The sequence below is a fragment of the Homo sapiens genome, chromosome 5 (genome assembly GCF_000001405.40).
Source record: "Homo sapiens chromosome 5, GRCh38.p14 Primary Assembly".
Taxonomy (NCBI): domain Eukaryota; kingdom Metazoa; phylum Chordata; class Mammalia; order Primates; family Hominidae; genus Homo; species Homo sapiens.
In genome coordinates, this window is record NC_000005.10 from 39,039,602 (window position 1) to 39,058,500 (window position 18,899).

At 36.4% G+C, this 18,899-nt stretch overlaps 1 protein-coding gene across 10 annotated transcripts in view; it reads right to left on the reverse strand.

The window, feature by feature from the left end:
• The window catches only part of RICTOR (RPTOR independent companion of MTOR complex 2), a 136,480-nt gene that overhangs the window by 101,682 nt on the left and 15,899 nt on the right, over positions 1-18,899 (reverse strand). The window lies entirely within an intron of this gene.

An 18,899-nucleotide genomic window follows, 5' to 3' on the forward strand; every position in this document is an offset into this window, starting at 1 on the left:
AGTCAAACAAATTTACAAGGAAAAAACAAACAACCCCATCAAAAAGTGGGCAAAGGATATGAACAGACACTTCTCAAAAGAAGACATTTATGCAGCCAAAAAACACATGAAAAAGTGCTCATCATCACTGGCCATCAGAGAAATGCAAATCAAAACCACAATGAGATACCATCTCATACCAGTTAGAATGGCAATCATTAAAAAGTCAGGAAACAACTGGTGCTGGAGAGGATGTGGAGAAATAGGAACACTTTTACACTGTTGGTGGGACTGTAAACTAGTTCAACCATTGTGGAAGTCAGTGTGGCGATTCCTCAGGGATCTAGAACTAGAAATACCATTTGACCCAGCCATCCCATTACTGGGTATATACCCAAAGGATTATAAATCATGGTGCTATAAAGACACATGCACACGTATGTTTACTGCAGCACTATTCGCAACAGCAAAGACTTGGAACCAAGCCAAATGTCCAACAATAATAGACTGGATTAAGAAAATGTGGCACATATATACCATGGAATACTATGCAGCCATAAAAAATGATGAGTTCATGTCCTTTGTGGGGACATGGATGAAGCTGGAAACCATCATTCTCAGCAAACTATTGCAAGGACAAAAAACCAAACACCACATGTTCTCACTCATAGGTGGGAACTGAACAATGAGAACACATGGACACAGGAAGGGGAACATCACACACCGGGGCCTGTTGAGGGGTGGGGGGAGGGGGGAGGGATAGCATTAGGAGATATACCTAATGTTAAATGACGAGTTAATGGTGCAGCACACCAAGATGGCACATGTGTACATATGTAACAAACCTGCACGCTGTGCACATGTACCCTAAAACTTAAAGTATAACAATCATAAAATTAAAAAAGTTGTATAATTTTAATAATTAGAAGCTATAATTACTATTTTAATTCATTTACTTAGAATATGTTTTATAATATAAACAACTTAAAATATTTTAAAATTAAATTTTAAACAATGGTCCTTCCAAGGTTCTTTTTCAAAAAAGTTGTTAACACTATCAATAGACTGGAAAACAGGTTGTCCCCTAGATTGTATTCCATAATTTTATTACTTATATAATTTTTAAAAATAAATCTATACTATAAAAGACAGTTATGATCTGACCTAGGAATAGCTCTGTATATCTACGCAGTATTTCAATTTCTATGTTTTATTCAGTTATAAATTTCAATGCTCCTCATCTGCCATATACTGCGATAACTGCTAGGAGAGGAACATTAATAAATATATGATCTCATTCCTGGAGATCAAAATTAAATGGGAAAAAAGAGGGACATAAATGTCTAACAGTAATATAATAGACAGGTAGGTAGTAAATATCATGCAAATAAAATAAAAGGAGAGTGATTGATAGAGATTTCACTAGAGTATAAGACAAGTTGAGAATAGGAAACCTGTCTGTCTGTTTACAGATGCATCCTGGCCTCTGGCACAATGCCAGGCACATGGTGGGTTGTCAATAAACAGTGGTTAAAAGAAATACTGAGCAAGACAGTAAGTGACACAAATGTTATTTGGAGATGCTTAACACGAGTTTATTCTTGACAATAAGCAATACATCTTGTAGGCATATAAAATGTGAAGAGCAATATGTACATTAACATGGAAATGTGAAAAAACAAGGTACTTTTCTCAATGAACTCAAGGAATAGCAAGAAATTCTATATCTTCAGAAAACAGGATGATGAGAATAAATGAAAATGGAGCTAGATTCCAACAGCTTTCTAAGATAAGTTAACTTAACTTAGAAAGATAAAAGTTAACATATCTTATATCTTTGGGCAATGGATAATTATTAAGGAAGGCATTTGTGCAAGTGAATGGCATGATCAGTTTTTTGTGCTTTAGGAATACAACTCTGGAGAGTGAACTGCAGAAGAGGAGAAAGGCAAGTTTAAGTAGAAGTTAAAAAAATTTTCTGAGCAGAAAACTTAATAACGGCTTAGAGATGGAAAAAAGATAGAGGGCAGAATCAAGGATGAAGTCTAGATTTCCGGATTGGGTAAATTGATGTATGATTCTATTCACTAACAGGGAATCCTAGAGCAAGTACAGATTTGGGGGAAATTTTCTACCAGCTGTAGTAAGCTTATGCACCAAAAGTAAATAACAACTAACCTTACAATGTTATAAGTTAATTGGCTATTTGTTCCTACATCAAAAACACTTATATTAGTCAGGCATGGCTACTCCAGAGGCTGATAGTAGGCGGATCCCTACAGCCTGGGAGTTCAAGGATGCAGTGAGCTATGATCATGCCACTGGACTCCAGTTTGGGTGACAGAGCAAGACCCTGTTTCAAAAAAAAAAAAAAAAAAAAAAATTTAATATGTTTAATTAAAAATGATTTGAAACCACATTTACAGGCTATCAGTTTTCAAGCCTGTGTTCTTAAAAAATAAGTAGATTACCATAGAAATACCAATTCCAGGGTCAAGTGTGCCTAGAAAGTTGCCCACAGTAATCTGCATTTATAGGAAGTACCCCAGTGATTCTTATGCACACTGAAATATGAAACATGCTATAAAGGCTGCCAGAATGTCATACAACTAGATTCTGATATCTCTTTGGGTTATTTAATCTGAAATCTAAGACTAGAACCTACTCTATGAAATATTCTTATCATCTTCAAATGTTACAATATAAAACAACAACACTGACACAAAAATAATAATTACTAATACTATACACACAGAGAACCTATACTATTTGTGCTAATATTTTTGCATGAATAATCTCTTTTAATCTCCACACCAACCGTATAAGGTAGGTACTACTATTATTGTCCTCATGTTAATAAATGAGGCTTAGAGACATAGTTCACTTGCCTAAAAGTCACACTAATACCAGATATGGCAATGAGATCTGAACTTAAGCTGTATGACTCCAAAGTCTACCTTTTATTCCTCAATATATAATACAATACAGACTACCTAGTTGTACTGCCTTGCATAGGACAATGTACCTTCAGTGTTCATACCGGTTTATAATTACACACTTAATTGTATAATTATTTGATGTTTATCTCCCTATACCACAATTCTGCTTTATTTCACCAATGTGATGTCATCCAAATACCTAAAACAATGGTTGGCAAACAGTAACCACACTCAAAAAGTATTTGTTGAATAAATGAACTTACTATTCAGTAATAAATACACAGAAACTTTAAAATATACCAAATTCTGTTTCTTGATCTGGGTTCTGGTTTCATCTCACCTAAATTAGGCTATTATCAAAAAGACAAAAAAATGCAGGGAGCCATGAACACACCACTGTACTCTAGCCTGGGTGACAGAGCAAGACCCTGTCTCTAAAGAAAAAGACAAAAAGTAACAAATGTGGAAAAAGGGGAATTCATATACTGTTGGTGAGAATGTATATTAGTAAGTACAGCCATTATAGAAAATAGTATAGAGGTGCCTCAAAAAACTAAAAATAGAATTGCCAAATGGATGATCCAGCAATTCCACTACTAGGTATATAAATATAGCCAAAGGAAACGAAATCAGCATATCAAAGAGAATGAGTAAACCAAAGAGATACCATATTTTTTGCACCACTATTCATAATAGCCAAGATATAGAAGCAACCTAATTGTCCTTCAATAGATAAATGAATTTTTTAAGTGTGGTATATATGCACAATGGAATATTACTCAGCCATTAAAAAAATAAAATCTTATCATTTGCAACAACATGGATGAACCAGGAGGACATGATCTTAAGTGAAATAAACCAGGCACAGAAAGACAAACACCACACAACCTCTCATATGTGGAATCTAAAGAAGCTGATCTCAGAAGTACAGAGTAGAAGAGTGGAGGGTAGAGGAGAAATAGAGAAAGACTGGTCAATGGGTACAAAGTTACAGTTAGGAGGAATAAGTTCTGGTGTTCTCTTGTGCAGTAGGGTGACTATGATTAACAGTACTGTATTGTATATTTCAAAATAACTAGGAGAAAGGATTTTGAACATTCTCACCACAAAGAAATGATAAACATATGAGGTGATTGCTATGGTCTGAATGTCCCCTCCAAAGCTCTTGTTGAAATTTCATCCCCAGTGTGGCTGTATTGAGAGGTGGGGTCTTGAAGAGGTGACTGGATCATGAAGGCTCTGTCCTCATGAATGAGTTATCACAGGAGAGGAACTGGTGGCTTTATAAGAAGAGAAGCGACCTGAGCTAGCACATTAGCACGCTCAGCCCCCTTGCCATGTGATAACCTGTGCCACCCTGGGACTCTTCAATGACAGCAAGAAGGTGTCGTCAGACAGCCCCTCAATCTTGGACTTCTTAGCCTTCATAACGGTAAGAACTGAATTCCTTTTCTTATAAATTACCCAATTTCAGGTATTCTTTTATAAGCGACAGAAAACTGATTAATCCATTAATGGATTTACTAAATACCCTGATTTGACTTTTACACAATGTATACACATATCAAAATGACACTGTACCCTATAAATATGTAATTATTATGTGTCAATTAAAACCAAAATATTTAAAAATGTTTAAAATATACCAAGCTCTGTTTTGATCTGGGTGCTGGTTTCACAGGTGTCAATCTGTCAAAGATTCATTGAGCAAAACATGTATAATAAATTCATGTCTCTCTATTCAATAAATAGTTAAAAAGCAAGAACGAAAAAAAATTTTGTTATTTTGCCAGATATTAAAGACTATGTTTATTGTCCTTTTATAGTAAACAAGACTATGCTTCTTAAATTGACTTTTAACAATCTGGCATTTATAACAGAAGAAGTCTCTAGGTCATACCTGTGAATTCTAAAATATAAGAATGGACAAGGGACTTACTATCTTATGAGTAGTTATAATAATGATAGTTATAATATGGACATACACAAAAGAGGGAATAAAAAAAAACTATGCTGCTTCAAAATGTATCTACTTCCCAAACTCTGAGCAACAAGATATGAAATAATATAATTTTCCAAAAACCCTAACCAAACTTATTTCTATTGCTTTGAAAAGGAATCTCACTTTCTAAGGTAAGAACAAACCTAATTAAATATAATTAACAATGCAATAGCATTCACCCAAATTTGTCAAATACAAAACTTTTAACATGGCAATGCATAGGAAAACAAAAAGAAAAAGGCAAACAAAAATTTAAGCCTGCTGTCTACCTTCAGAAAACCACATTCTGATCCTTTTCTATTCCACCCTCTCAAGCACTATATTCACGCAGTGCTAAAAATCATGTTGCCAGGTTGCACTTGCTAGATAAAGAACTAAAGCCTAACCATTCCCCTTACCTAATCTTTTAATCATTTCATCCTTGTCTATTTTTACATGGTAGATAATTAGTGAATTTATAAAGATTTTCTGGCACAGATGTTTGAAGGAGAAAATGGATAAGACCTGCTCAATGGAAAAAAGGCATCAAGTGCTTTCTTAGACTTCATCTCTTTCCCTTTTCCACAGTAAAATTAGAATTGAGTACTTGGGCTCATAACACCTGTTAAAAGATAATTTGTGGTAGACAACTGAACCAAATTCACAAAGCACTTTTACTTTGTACACAAACACAAAGTATATATGAGTATATACAAAGAATTCAAAAGGTCTTCACCAGACTACAGAAATGACTATCATTCAAAGAAATGTTTTTCATAACATTTTAATGTTATTTTCCTGCAGAAAAGCAGGAAAACTCTGAGCAACAAGATATGAAATAATTTCATTATAGACTGAAAAATACAGTCTGCAACTTGAACAACCCTTTCTAAGACAGTAAAAATAACTAAAAGCAATTATTAAACATTACAATTACTGCATGTTCTGCTACAATTTCTATGTCTTAGTCTGTTATATTTTACAAAGATACTTGTAAAATCATTAGGCTTCCACAGTTCTCTAATTAGGAATCCTTTATTATAAGAGAAAAAAATCAGTTTGTCTTTGAAACAATTCACTATGTAAATGAACCCTGTGAAAGAATGGAACAGCTGTGCCTAAAGGCTGAGACATTAATTTTTATATATAGATATCCAGTCTATTAGAATTATTTAGAAGTCAGTTGTATATTTTCATGTACAGCTACTTTCATGCTTCTGCTTTTCTCTATGAAACATGTCTATAGTTCAGATCATTTGTCAGACAGGTGGCTTCTATGAAGGTAGTAGTTAAAAGGGCTTACCTTCTTAGAAACTAATAAGGGAGAGCAAAGGTATAAATATACCTTGGCTGTAGGACACTAGATTTGAGTATGGATTAGCAACCTGAAAAATATGTTGTTACCGTATTATTTTCTAATCTTTCCATTTGTATTGATTCCACATCTTATCTTATTCCAGTATTTTTATCATTAGTTATTCACTATTCTTCATGGATCGTCAGTCTCTTTCACTAGCTCTGTCTTTAAAAATAAATAAATAAATAAATAAATAAATAAATAAATGCTGGCCAGGTGCAGAGGCTCATGCACGTAATCCCAAAACTCTGGGAGGCCAAGTTGGGAGGATTTCTTGAGGCCAGGAGTTCAACACCAGCAATAAGAGCACTGTAAGACTCCTGTCTCTACAAAAATTAGGGGAAAAAAAAAACAAAAACAGCTGGGCATAGTGGCATACGCCTGTCGTCCCAGCTACTCAGGAGGCTGAGATGGGAAGATCACTTGAGCCCAGGTGATTGAAGCTACAGTGAACTATGATGGTGCCACTGCACTCCAGTCTGGGTAACAGAACAAGACCCTGTCTCTAAAAACAAAATTAAAAAAAAAAAAAAGAAGAAGAATAAATGCTTTGCCCATTGTTTTCTATCTTTGAAATATTACTTTTTTTTTTTTTTTGCCAAATCTGAGATGCAACTGAATTTATTCTTACCTCATCATCTCCTAAACTTCATCAACCTGGTGTTTAAGGCCATCATTCAAATTAAGCTGTCCTCCTCAAGCTTACCATTTGCCTAATTCAAAGTTTTTCTCTCAGCTTTTCAAAACTTTTTGACTTTTCCATCACACTACTGACCCATGCTAACCAAATCCACCATATTTCCCGTGGTTTCTGCAACTACACTGTCTCAATCCTTTTCATAACTATCCTTCACTGTTCCTTATGACTTGGTTTAAAGATTTGTATTCCCTCCTCCTGTTCCATATCCTTTAACATTACCTAAAGCTTTGAGTTAAATGAAGGTTGCCAGGGAAAAAAAATGTTTTAAATGTAAACAACAACAAAGACAACAAAAATTACCTGAAGTACTATATCCTTTTCCTCAGGTTTCTCTTTTCCCTGTCTCTATCAACTCTAACAAATTCAATTTTACCCTTTAAGTCAATGCCTCAAAAGTTCGATTCTAAAATTTATCTATGATTAAAAGCAACACACCTCAGTCTGTATGTTTTGTGGTGTGTCCACCTCAAATTTAGCATGTCCTGTAATCAAATTAATTCATCTTAAAAAAAAACTTAAAAAAATTTCCATCTTCAAATAATATTACTATTAGAAATTCTGGACTCCCTGGAATCTACTCACATCCAAGTAGTCATCAAGTATCACTGAGACACTTTAGAACAGTAGTCCCCAACCTTTTTGGCCCAGGGACTGGTTCTGTGGAAGACAGTTTTTCAATGGACAGGGTCAAGTGGGGGGGATGGTTTCAGATGAAATTGTTCCACCTCAGATCATCAGGCATTAGATTCTCATAAGGAGGGCACGACCTAGATCCCTCGCATGTGCAGTTCACAATAGGGTTCATGTTCCTATGAGAATCTAATGCAGCCACTGATCTGACAGAAGGCAGAGCAGGTGGTAATGTATGCTTGCCCGCTGCTCACCTCCTGCTGTGTGGCCCCGTTCCTAACAGGCCACGGACTGGTACCGGTGCACAGCCAGGGGTTTGGGGACCCCTGCTTTAGTTCATGTATTTTACTAACCTCTTACGTAGACTACATTATAATGGTATCCTGTTTTTATACAAAATTAGTGTTTTGTACAACATTACCTATTCAAAAACTATTATTTCTTTTAGGAAAAACATATGACTAGACACACTGAGACAAATTAAGAAATCAAATTCCAGTCAGGCTTTGCTGTATGAAATGAGTTTAGGTCACGTCAGTTTTAACAGGTCAGCTTATTTATGGAAAAAGCTTTCATTCTCAGAGATTTTAGGTTTTCAAAGTTGTGGAGAAGAGACTATGGACCTGTACAATTAATACTACCAAAGTGAAAATGTTGCACTCTTTTCTACAACTAAGTTATTGAAACTGTTACTTTTTCCACTCTTCCAAGACACAAAATATGTAGTGAAGTATAAATTTAGATCTTAAGTTGGAAAAAGTAACAAAAAGTAAACCATATTGCCCCAGAAATAGTTTGTCAACACAAAGAATTTAACCACAACGAAGAATTTTCCCACTAATTCAGAATAAAAGACTGGTCATTTAGGATAAAAACATTAATGAAAAGAAGGGCTTCTGGCCCTAAGAACAACTACCTGGCTACCAAAGTGTAGCTGTGGACAATCAACATGGGTACCACCTGTGAGCATGTCATAAGTGCAAAATCTTGAGCCCTTCCAGGCCTACTGAACCAGACTCTTCATTATGACAAAATCCCCAGGTGGTCCAACTGTATATTTGTGCAGAAAAAAAGTTAACCTAGCAGGCCTAACTGCTTATCTTTAAAAAGGCCTGCTTGCAAGGTTGACCCTCAGCTGGCATACAGGAACTTAAATTTTGGGAGATTCTGTAAACTGGTAAGGTGGCTCACTGGACCTAAACTGTTTATACTAACAATATGTTTTACATGAAATACTTGCTTTTGTTCTGTAAGTATGGAATTTTGTTATCTGCCAGGTAGAGGCTACCTACTTGGCAATTCCTCAAATAAAAACCCTGGGCACTGAGTCTCTAATGAGATTCCCTGGTTGACAGCATTTCATGGGTTGTCACAATTCATAACTGGAGGGAACTAGCATGTCCTGTGTGACTCTGCTGGGAAGATTCTAGATGCTTGTGCTGGTTTCCCCCAGACTTTGCCCCATGTATCTTTTCCCTTTGCTAATTTTGTGTCATATCTTTTTGCCATAATGAGTTCTAGTGAATCACTGAATCTAAGGATGGTATCTGGGACCTGCAACAAAGCATTAAATTTCAGAAGCTCTGCTTTAGAGAACCCACATGAAATCCTATTCCTAAAGCTTAAGAGCAGGCCATGAGGACTGTAGGCTAACCCTTGAGTCAATGCAAGACAAGGAATTTGTTACGCATAAAGTTAGACCTTAGAAAAGTCTACATCCTAAGAAAAAAGGTGAATTAAAAAACATCCAACAGAGGTAAACAGCAAAGAAAAGCAGCTCTGGGTAACACTGTAAACAAAACAAACAAGAGAGACTCTGCTGAGACTCTGAAGCCACCACATGTGACTTTGGAACATAAATGTACTCTTGCATGGTTAAGGGAAAAAAACACCAAGGTGAGAATCTGAATTTAAAGTAGCCCTTGGTCTACAATGCTCCCAAGCAGCAGGCAGAAGCAAACTCAACCATCAATCACTCCCCACTAACTCATCCAACCAACCAGATAACCACCCTTAGCCTGGGTAACCTAACAAATATAGGGCACAACCAAAAACCATGAACACACAAGTAAACAGCAAAATAAGCCATTATAAACAGAAACAAGAAAAAAAAAGATATAAAAAGACTAAAAATCAGAATTATTCAATGAAATAATAATTATGTTTTATATATCTAAAACAGGGGAGCTGGTAAACTTGTTCATAGAGTCACACAGTAAACACTTTAGGCTTTAAAGGTCTGTAATACAGTCTCTGTTTCAACTAGTTAACTCCACAACTATGGCACCAAAGCAGCCACAGATAAAACTTAAAACAAATAAGCATAGCCATGTGCCAATAAAATGTTATTTACATATGCAGTAGCAAGCCAGATTTGCAAGCCATAATTTGCAAACCTCTGGCTTAAGGGAAAAAAAGAAGTAAAAAGAACACTAAAGAGAACATTCAAAAAAAAAAAAAAGTTATCAAAAAGATCCATGACAGAATAGGAAAGAAGGGAGGGAGGGAGGGAGCGCAGTCCAGGTAGAACTTCTTGAAATAAAAATATCATAACTGAAATAACTCAATGGAAGGGATGAACAGCATAAACACTGCTAGCAGAAGAATTAATGAACGAAGAAAGACCTAGCTGAAGATACTATACAGAACTTGGCTTCTCAGGAAAAAGGAGATGAAACACATAAAAAAGTTTAACAACCAAGAAAGATAATGAGAAACTCTAACATACATGAGAGTTCATAAAGGAGGTAACAAGACAAAATGGGGGAAATGCAATACTCAAAAACCCAAGGACTGACACTTTTCTGGAATTACTCAAAGACTTGAAATACTTAGAATCAGGATGCCCAATGAATCCAAAGGCAGAATAAATAACCACCTAAACACATTTTATTCAAGATGTTTGAAAGAAATTGTTAATATAGACAGAAAAACAGATTACCCAAAAGGAAGGTGATCTAGATGAACAACTTGCTTTTTTACATATATAAATATAAACAAATAAATAAATAAATATATATATATATAAAGTATGCTGACCTATGAATCATTACTCAAAGTACTCTAAGTATCTGTAAAACAATCAGGAAAATTTGAGCACTGACTGAATATTAGATAATACAAAGAACTTACTGCTTTGTTTTTCTTTGTTTTTTTTCTTCTTTTTTGAGACGGGGTCTCTCTCTGTCTCCCAGGCTGGAGTGCAGTGGCACAATCTCGGCTCACTGTAACCTCCACCTCCTGGGTTCAAGCAATTCTCCTGCTTCAACCTCCCAAGTTGCTGGGACTACAGGTGCACACTGCCACACCCGGCTAATTTTTTGTATTTTTGTAGGGACAAGGTTTCACCACGTTTCCCAGGCTGGTCTCAAACTCCTGAGCTCAGGCAATCCACCCACCTCGGCCTCCCAAAATGCTGGATTACAGGAGTGAGCCACCACGCCTGACCTACAAAGAACTTACTGTTAATTTACTCAGTTGTGTTAATGTCACTGTGGTTGTATATTTTAAAATTCCGTATCCCTTAGAAATACATACTGATGATCTGCAATGAAATAACATATACCTTGGATTTGCTTCAAAATGACCCATGAGGGAAGTGGGAGAATATACAAATGAAATAAGATTGTCCCATATGTTTATAATGGTTGAAGGTAAAGAATACATGAGGGCTCATTATACTTTTTTCTCGAATTATGTGTATGTTTGAAATTTTTCATAATGAAATATTTTTAATAAGTCTGATAATCCCAAGTGTTGACAAAAGTATGAATCAATAGCAATTCCTATATATTATCACTGTGAGAATAAAGACATATAGATGGATAATCTTTCTCTCTCCCCATACATATATATACACACACACACACACACACACGCACCTACACACACACACACGCGGCATATAACCAGTAATTCCACGCTAAATTATATAATGCAGAGAAACTTACATATAAGCAGCAGGATTCATATACAAGACTATACATAAAATCACTGTATATAATACCAAGAAACTACAAATAACACAAATGTCCATGATCAAAAGAATGGATAAATAACTGTTATTTGTTTATTAACACTTGTTCTTAGAGTTTTCATCTAAGCATTTGCCAGACACTACGCTGGGGTCTATAAACAAATAATTTTCTCAATACTCATAATGACACTGTAAGATATACAAAATTTTATCCCTTTTCACAAATAAAAAAAGTTAGACTCAGAAAACTTAACAGCACATCTGGTATTTGCTTGCAAATTATGGAGCAAGAACGTGAATTTCGGCTGGGCACGGTGGCTCACGCCTATAATCCCAGCACTTTGGGAGGCGAGGCACGTGGAACACCTGAGGTCAGGAGTTGGAGACCAGGCTGGCCAACATGGCGAAACCCCATCTTTACTAAAAATAAAAATAAAAAAATTAGCTGGGCATAGTGGTGGGCGCCTGTAATCCCAGCTACTTGGAGGCTGAGGCAGGAGAATCGCTTGAACCCAGGAGGCGGAGGCTGCAGTGAGCCAAGATCACGCCATTGCACTCCAGCCTGGGCAACGGAGCCAGACTCTGTCTCAAAAAAAAAAGAATGTGATTTTTGATTTTCCCTTCTACAAACTCACTTTTCATTTCACAGTAATAATTAGGAATGTATATTTTCAAAAAAGGAGTGATATGCTAATTTTCTAAAATAGCTTAAAATTAATACATAGTCACCTACTTATGATGGTTCAACTTAAAATTTTCTTACTTTAAGATATTGCAAGAGCAACATGCATTCAATAGAAACCATACTTTGAATTCTGAATTTTGATCTTTTCCTGAGCAGCAGTATGTGGTAGGATACTCCTTCATAATGCTGGGCAGAAGTAGTGAGTCAAAATCTCAGTCAGCCACATGATTGCAAGGGTAAATAGGCCAGGCGTGGTGGCTCACACCTGTAATCCCAGCACTTTGGGATGCTGATGTGGGTGGACTGCTTGAGAACAAGAATTCAAGATCAGCCTGGCTAACAGCAAGACATCCATCTCTACAAAAAAAAATTTTTAAATTAGCCAGGCGTGGTGGTATGCGTGTATAGTCCTAGCTACTTAGAAGGCTGAGACAGGAGGATCCCTTGAGCCCAGGAGTTTGAGGTTACAGTGAACTATGATCCTGCCACTGCAATCCAGCCTGGGCAACAGAATGAACCAACACTCTACAGTGTACCCAGTCATTAGCATTTTTTGGACATTGTTTTTGCAACCTATCGTGTCTACAAATACTTATTTTTCACTTACAATGAGTTTAGGGAGTTTGAAAGGATGTAATCCCATCATAATCCTAGGGTTATCTGCATAAAAAAAGAACTTTTTACAGTATCACAAAGGTAAACTGTAGTTGATCCAGACCTGTACAAATTACCAATAAGATCTAAAATAAGGTTTCCCATAATTTGCAGTTTATATTTTATGTATGTAAACATAAAATAAAACCAGTGGGGATCCTGGGGAAGATTACTGACTAGTTTAACTCAAGTAGTCCTCTTAATACTGTCAGTCTCCTCAAAGTACATTGACAATGGAATCTACCTTTCTCGTACCTAGAGAGCCTCCTTCTTTTGTTAAAAGTCTTCTGAAATTAAGTGATCTCTTATCAGTTTCTTCTAGCTCTAAACTCTGCTTACTTGGCTTCTATTTTACGATTCCACACCAATGATCTTCACCTACACTATTGCTGAACCCAAACAGCCATTCTCTAGTGCAAAGTTTGGCTTACTAAGAATGCCCTGCTCAGACCAAGGGATAAATATCAAATAAATAACAGTATCAGTTAAGAATCACATCCATGCTACTTTTAGCAATGAAATTTGTAAGAGTATCCAATTGATTAGATTACATCCAAACACTTTCATGAACTAACATTTTAAATAAGACAAATCACTAGCTAAATTTTTTCATAGTTTTTCTCCAATTTATTTTAGGCTATTTCAATGCCCCTGATGCACCTAACCAATAAAACTTTCTCTGGAAAATGCTAACAGTAAAAAATAATACAATTTAATAAGTAGCTAAATCCTCCTCTATTTGCTAAAGGTGCAAAATATCCCTCAGTCAACAAACCAAAACACAGACATTATTCAATTATACTTGTCATGGCAAATCAGGTTTCAACTCTAGTGTCGGCCCTAGTGCTTCCAGGAATACTACTCTGAGGATTATGAACCCTCAGTGTCACTCAGAGGAAAAGAGTCTAGTGATTGCTGAGCAATTTCTACCACAACGGCTCATGTATCTGCCAACCCCAAACCATGATTTTACTTTACCAAAGGCACACGTGCTCATGCTATAGCCTCTTTAAAAAATATTTAGGATCTAGCACAGTGCCTAGCACAAAAATAAATATTTATTAAATAAATGTTTATTAAATCCGCAGAATTAGAAAGCAAGAATAAGGGTCGGGCGCGGTGGCTCACGCCTGTAATCCCAGCACTTTGGGAGGCCGAGATGGGTGGATCACGAGGTCAGGAGATCGAGACCATCCTGGCTAACACGGTGAAACCCCGTCTCTACTAAAAATACAAAAAATTAGCCGGGCGAGGTGGCGGGCGCCTGTAGTCCCAGCTACTCGGGAGGCTGAGGCAGGAGAATGGCGTGAACCCCAGGGGGCGGAGCCTGCAGTGAGCCGAGATTGCGCCACTGCACTCCAGCCTGGGCGACAGCGAGACTCCGTCTCAAAAAAAAAAAAAAAACCCGTCTCTACTAAAAATACAAAAAGTTAGCCGGGCTTGGTGGTGGGCGCCTGTAATCCCAGCTACTCGGAAGGCTGAGGCAGAAGAATCACTTGAACCCGGGAGGCGGAGGTTGCAGTGAGTGGAGATCGAGCCACTGCGCTCCAGCCTGGGCTACGGTGTGAGACTCCGTCTCAAAAAAGAAAGAAAGAATAGGTTAAAAAAAGGTTTTAATTTTAACAACGGGCTGAAAATCTAGATGCTAAAGAACAGATTGCCGGGATCACATTCACTTAAAAAAAAAATACAAAGAACATATGAATAAAAGCTGTGAAATGAAAGACAAGAATTTCCCCCAAATCTGCCTATAAGCCATCCTGATTCAGCACCAAGAAAAAAAGATTGTTTCCAAAGCACTCACAGCCCACATGTCTTAGTGCTGGATAGGTGGGACGACAGTGGCAGTTAAAGTTGAATAAGGGGAAAGATTGACATAAATGAGAGGAAGGGGAGCGCTCATATCCAGAATAAAAATTTATTTAATATTAAAGAGAATAAAGTTAACACTAACTTCACTCATTCTGCTATTTTCAGTACTTCTTCATATTCCCAAGGATAGATTCAACATCTAAATGAAAGCATCTAGCTGCAGCAGCAGCATAAAGTTGATCAAACGAATAGAATAATTTTTGACAAAGATTATATAAGGCTAAGAAGTCCCTTCTGGGCCTCTTGATTTGTCAGTCTACCTTAACCATCCATTCAGTCTACATTTTTTGAGTAACATGCAACTAACTGGAGGTTCTTGAAGAGCAAGGTCTGATTTATCTTGTAACCTCAACCTTCAGAAAAACTGGCAGAATACTCTATGTTATATACTCATTAAATACAGCATTTCCACCCACAGTGAAAAGAGCTGTTGTTAAAATTAGTAATCAGGCATTACTTGATAACTCAAAAATATTAAAGTAATTAGGGTTATACACACATCACTTACAAGGAAATCTATTAATACAACTATCATTTCTACAATGTTTGGTTTTGCTATCTCGTCTTGAAAAACAATACACTACTTCAGTTTCAAGTGATTCAAATGGAATAATCTTGCCCGTCTTGTAACATGAATGAAAGAATTCATTCATTCACTTATTAATTCAGTTAACATTAATTTAATGGCATGTGCTATGAAGTGCCTGCTCCAAGGGCTACAGTCTATTGTCCAAGGGGCAGAGTGATTTTTCTAAATTATCTCACCATATCACACTCCTGCCTGAAACCCTCTAATGACTTCCCTTTGCAGTTGTACCACCCTCTCCAAGTTATTACTTGTCTCCCTGTCTCTCCTAATCTCATATTCCCATACTCTCTCTCTCATTCATCAAGCACTAGCCATACTGGTTCTTTCCTGTCTCGTTGATAGTCACATTTTTTTGGCTAGTTTTTCCTTCTACTTGAAGACTTTCCTCCCTTACATGGTGCCTCCTCGGTATCAATTAAACACTACTACTTAAGAGAAGCTTTCTCTGACAATTCCCCCCCCCCACTCTTTTTCACATACCTGATTTTACACTATTAAGAGCATTTATCAGTACCTAAAATTCTGCACTCATGTGTTTACTGTGTTCTCCCCCCTAGACTATAGGTCCATCAAAGGTAGGGACTCAATATATTTTTTTCACCACTGAATCAGCAGCAAAAGATCAGTACCCAGTACACAGTAAAGGTCAACAAATATTTGTCTAGTGTGACAGAGAGGCAGACATGTGAATAAAATTATGCCAATTGTAAGAAAGGTAAAATGCAATATATTATAAAAGCCCAAATAAAGAAGATGTTCAACACTGCGAGGGAAGATTGACTTTTTGGGAAACTTTTTGTTGGTTACAGAGAAGAAAACAGATTGGAAAAGAACAGAACTAGAACAGGGAGAGTAGTTACGAAGTCAATAGAATCATCAGGAAAGATAATAAGGGCCTGAATAAAGGCATGGCAACAGAAATGGAAAAAACAGATTTGCAAGTATTTCAGAGATAAAATCATTACCATCTGGTCTCAGATTGGATATGTGGAATAAGGACAAGGAACGAGGTTAAGATGTCTCCTGGGTGTCTTATTTGGCCCAATTAAAGTACTTCTCTTAACCCAGAAAGATTTTTAGAATAATGAGATAATTAGCCAGTTTGAAACATATTAGGTTTGATGTACTTGACGACATGGTTACGATGCTGAGTAAGCAGCAAAATTGGTCAGGAGCCCTCAAGCTTAAACACAAATTTGAGAGTCAATCATTCAGTCAACAAATATTTACCCAGCACTTACTATGTCCCAGGGCTGTTCTAAGCACCAAGGATGCAATGGTGAACAAAACAAAGTACTTGTCTCCTCACAAAACTTACATTCCAGGGAGACAAGAAATATATACCGTAATATCAGTAGTGACAAGGGCTATGAAAGAAAAAGCAATAATGCCAGGCACAGTGGCTCATACCTACAATCCCAGCACTTTTGGGGGGCCAAGACAGATGGATCGCTTGAGCCCACGATTCAAGACAAGCCTGGGCAACGTGGCAGAACCCTGTCTCTACAAAAAATACCAAAAAATTAGCCAGGCTTGGTGGCGTGTGCCTGTACTCCCAACTACGTGGGGGTGCTGAAGTGACAGGATCACTTGAGTCCAGGAGGTCGAGGCTGCAGCGAGCCATGATCATGCCACTGCCCTCCAGCCTGGATGACAAAGCGAGACCCTGTCTCAAAAAAGAAAAGGCAAAACGATTAAAAAAAAAAAATGACAAGTGACAGTAAGAGGAGCTACTTCAGACACAGTGATCAGAGAAGGCCTCAGTGATGATAAGGTGACATTTGAACAGAGTTAAACAGTGAGGGATTAAGTAATAGAAATATTGGAGGAAAAACAATCCAGAAAGAATATGATAAAAGTACAAATTTGGGTCAAAGAAAATATGATTAGGAATGACCAGCATAGAAATCATTTCACTAAACACAGTGAATCAGGAGACAGTTAGGAAATGAGAATGGTAGTAGAGGTAGCCAGGGACTAGATTACAATGACAGTATTGCATATAGTGGCAATTTATTTAAAAGTAATTATCTACCTTGCAAATACCACCTTCCAGTATGTAATACAGTGCTGAGAAAAGAGCAGGTGCTCAATGTATTATTTTCAAATACATGAGTGAATAAATTAGTGAATTAATAACTTCCCAAATTTGAGTCCGATTATATCTGACCATTTCCCAAACTCCAATTCATCCTTGAAGGACAAACCAAACAGCAATTTGAAGGACTAATAATATATAGGATAAATTTAAAGGCCTTACAAGCTTTAGCAATCTTCACAAGTAGAATTTTAAAATGTTTTGAACAATAGTAACATCAATGGTTCCATTGATGTTGGTTCCATTGATCCTGTCCCTTGCAAGAAGAATGCTTAAAAGAAAACGACATCTACTTAGTAAGTATATAATTTCTGGGATGTCTGCGAAATTAATCCATCACTCCATAAACTACATTTAGTAATATTTTAATAATCAAATTATCACTTTAGACAAAGTTCAGATCATGTGGAACGGTCACTGGTTTACTGCACTACTTCAGCTTTATTCTAAGGAAAGTCATTTAAAATGGTTGGAAAAAGGAAAATGATGTGCCAGTATATATAAGAGCAATAAATAATATAATCCTGGTTAAAAATATACATTTACTGCATTATATCACTCTTAATAGAATCAAGCAATCACTTAAAATTCACCACTAAAAACAAGTATTCTTTTGGTAGCTAATAATCTACACTCAGTTTAAATCTGCTCAGTGAACTTTTTAAATAGTCTAGACTCAGAGTCAGCAAGGATCTGTCAAGGTTATATTAAGTGTTCCCATCTTCAGGAAATTCCCAACTCACTGTTTTCCACACTTCCAAAGAGTGTATGTATAAAAATTTAATACACTTCAAGTATTTAAAATAAATTAATACTCATAGTTAATTATCAGCATTTAGAAAATGTACTTCATCAGAAACTTCTTTACCTTCATACACTTCAGTATTTTTGTTTCACTTTCATATTTACTCTAGTGCTTTTGCATACTGAAATAAGTAAAAATTTTCTTTATTTTAAAAGTGTATGCTAAAACAACACATGTTGCCAAGTTGCTGTCAGGTATTTAATCAATTTCCTACAAAATACCCGGTTTAAATTTCTCGGAGACAAGCACCAAAAGAAAGGCAGTGGAATCTTTTTCTATTCCAACTCTCACATCACTATTTCTTAGGGGGCAAATAATCACTGAAAACAACAAAAAAATCTAAATATTAAAACTTATTTTAAATCAGGGAACATAAAGAGGTAGCAAGTACAACAAAAGAAAAATGTAATTCATCTATATAGCATACTCTATTTAAAGGGTCATCTGAAGAAAGGCTAGAAATAGCAAAATAGAAACAGAAAGCAATGAGAGAAACAAAAACAAGGCAGAAAGAGAAACAATCACACAGAGATAGGTTATAAGTATCAATCAGATGTTAGATACTATCAGTCTAATAAAGTTCTAATATATCTATTAGAAAATCCATGACATTACTTTATGACTTCCGTCTATG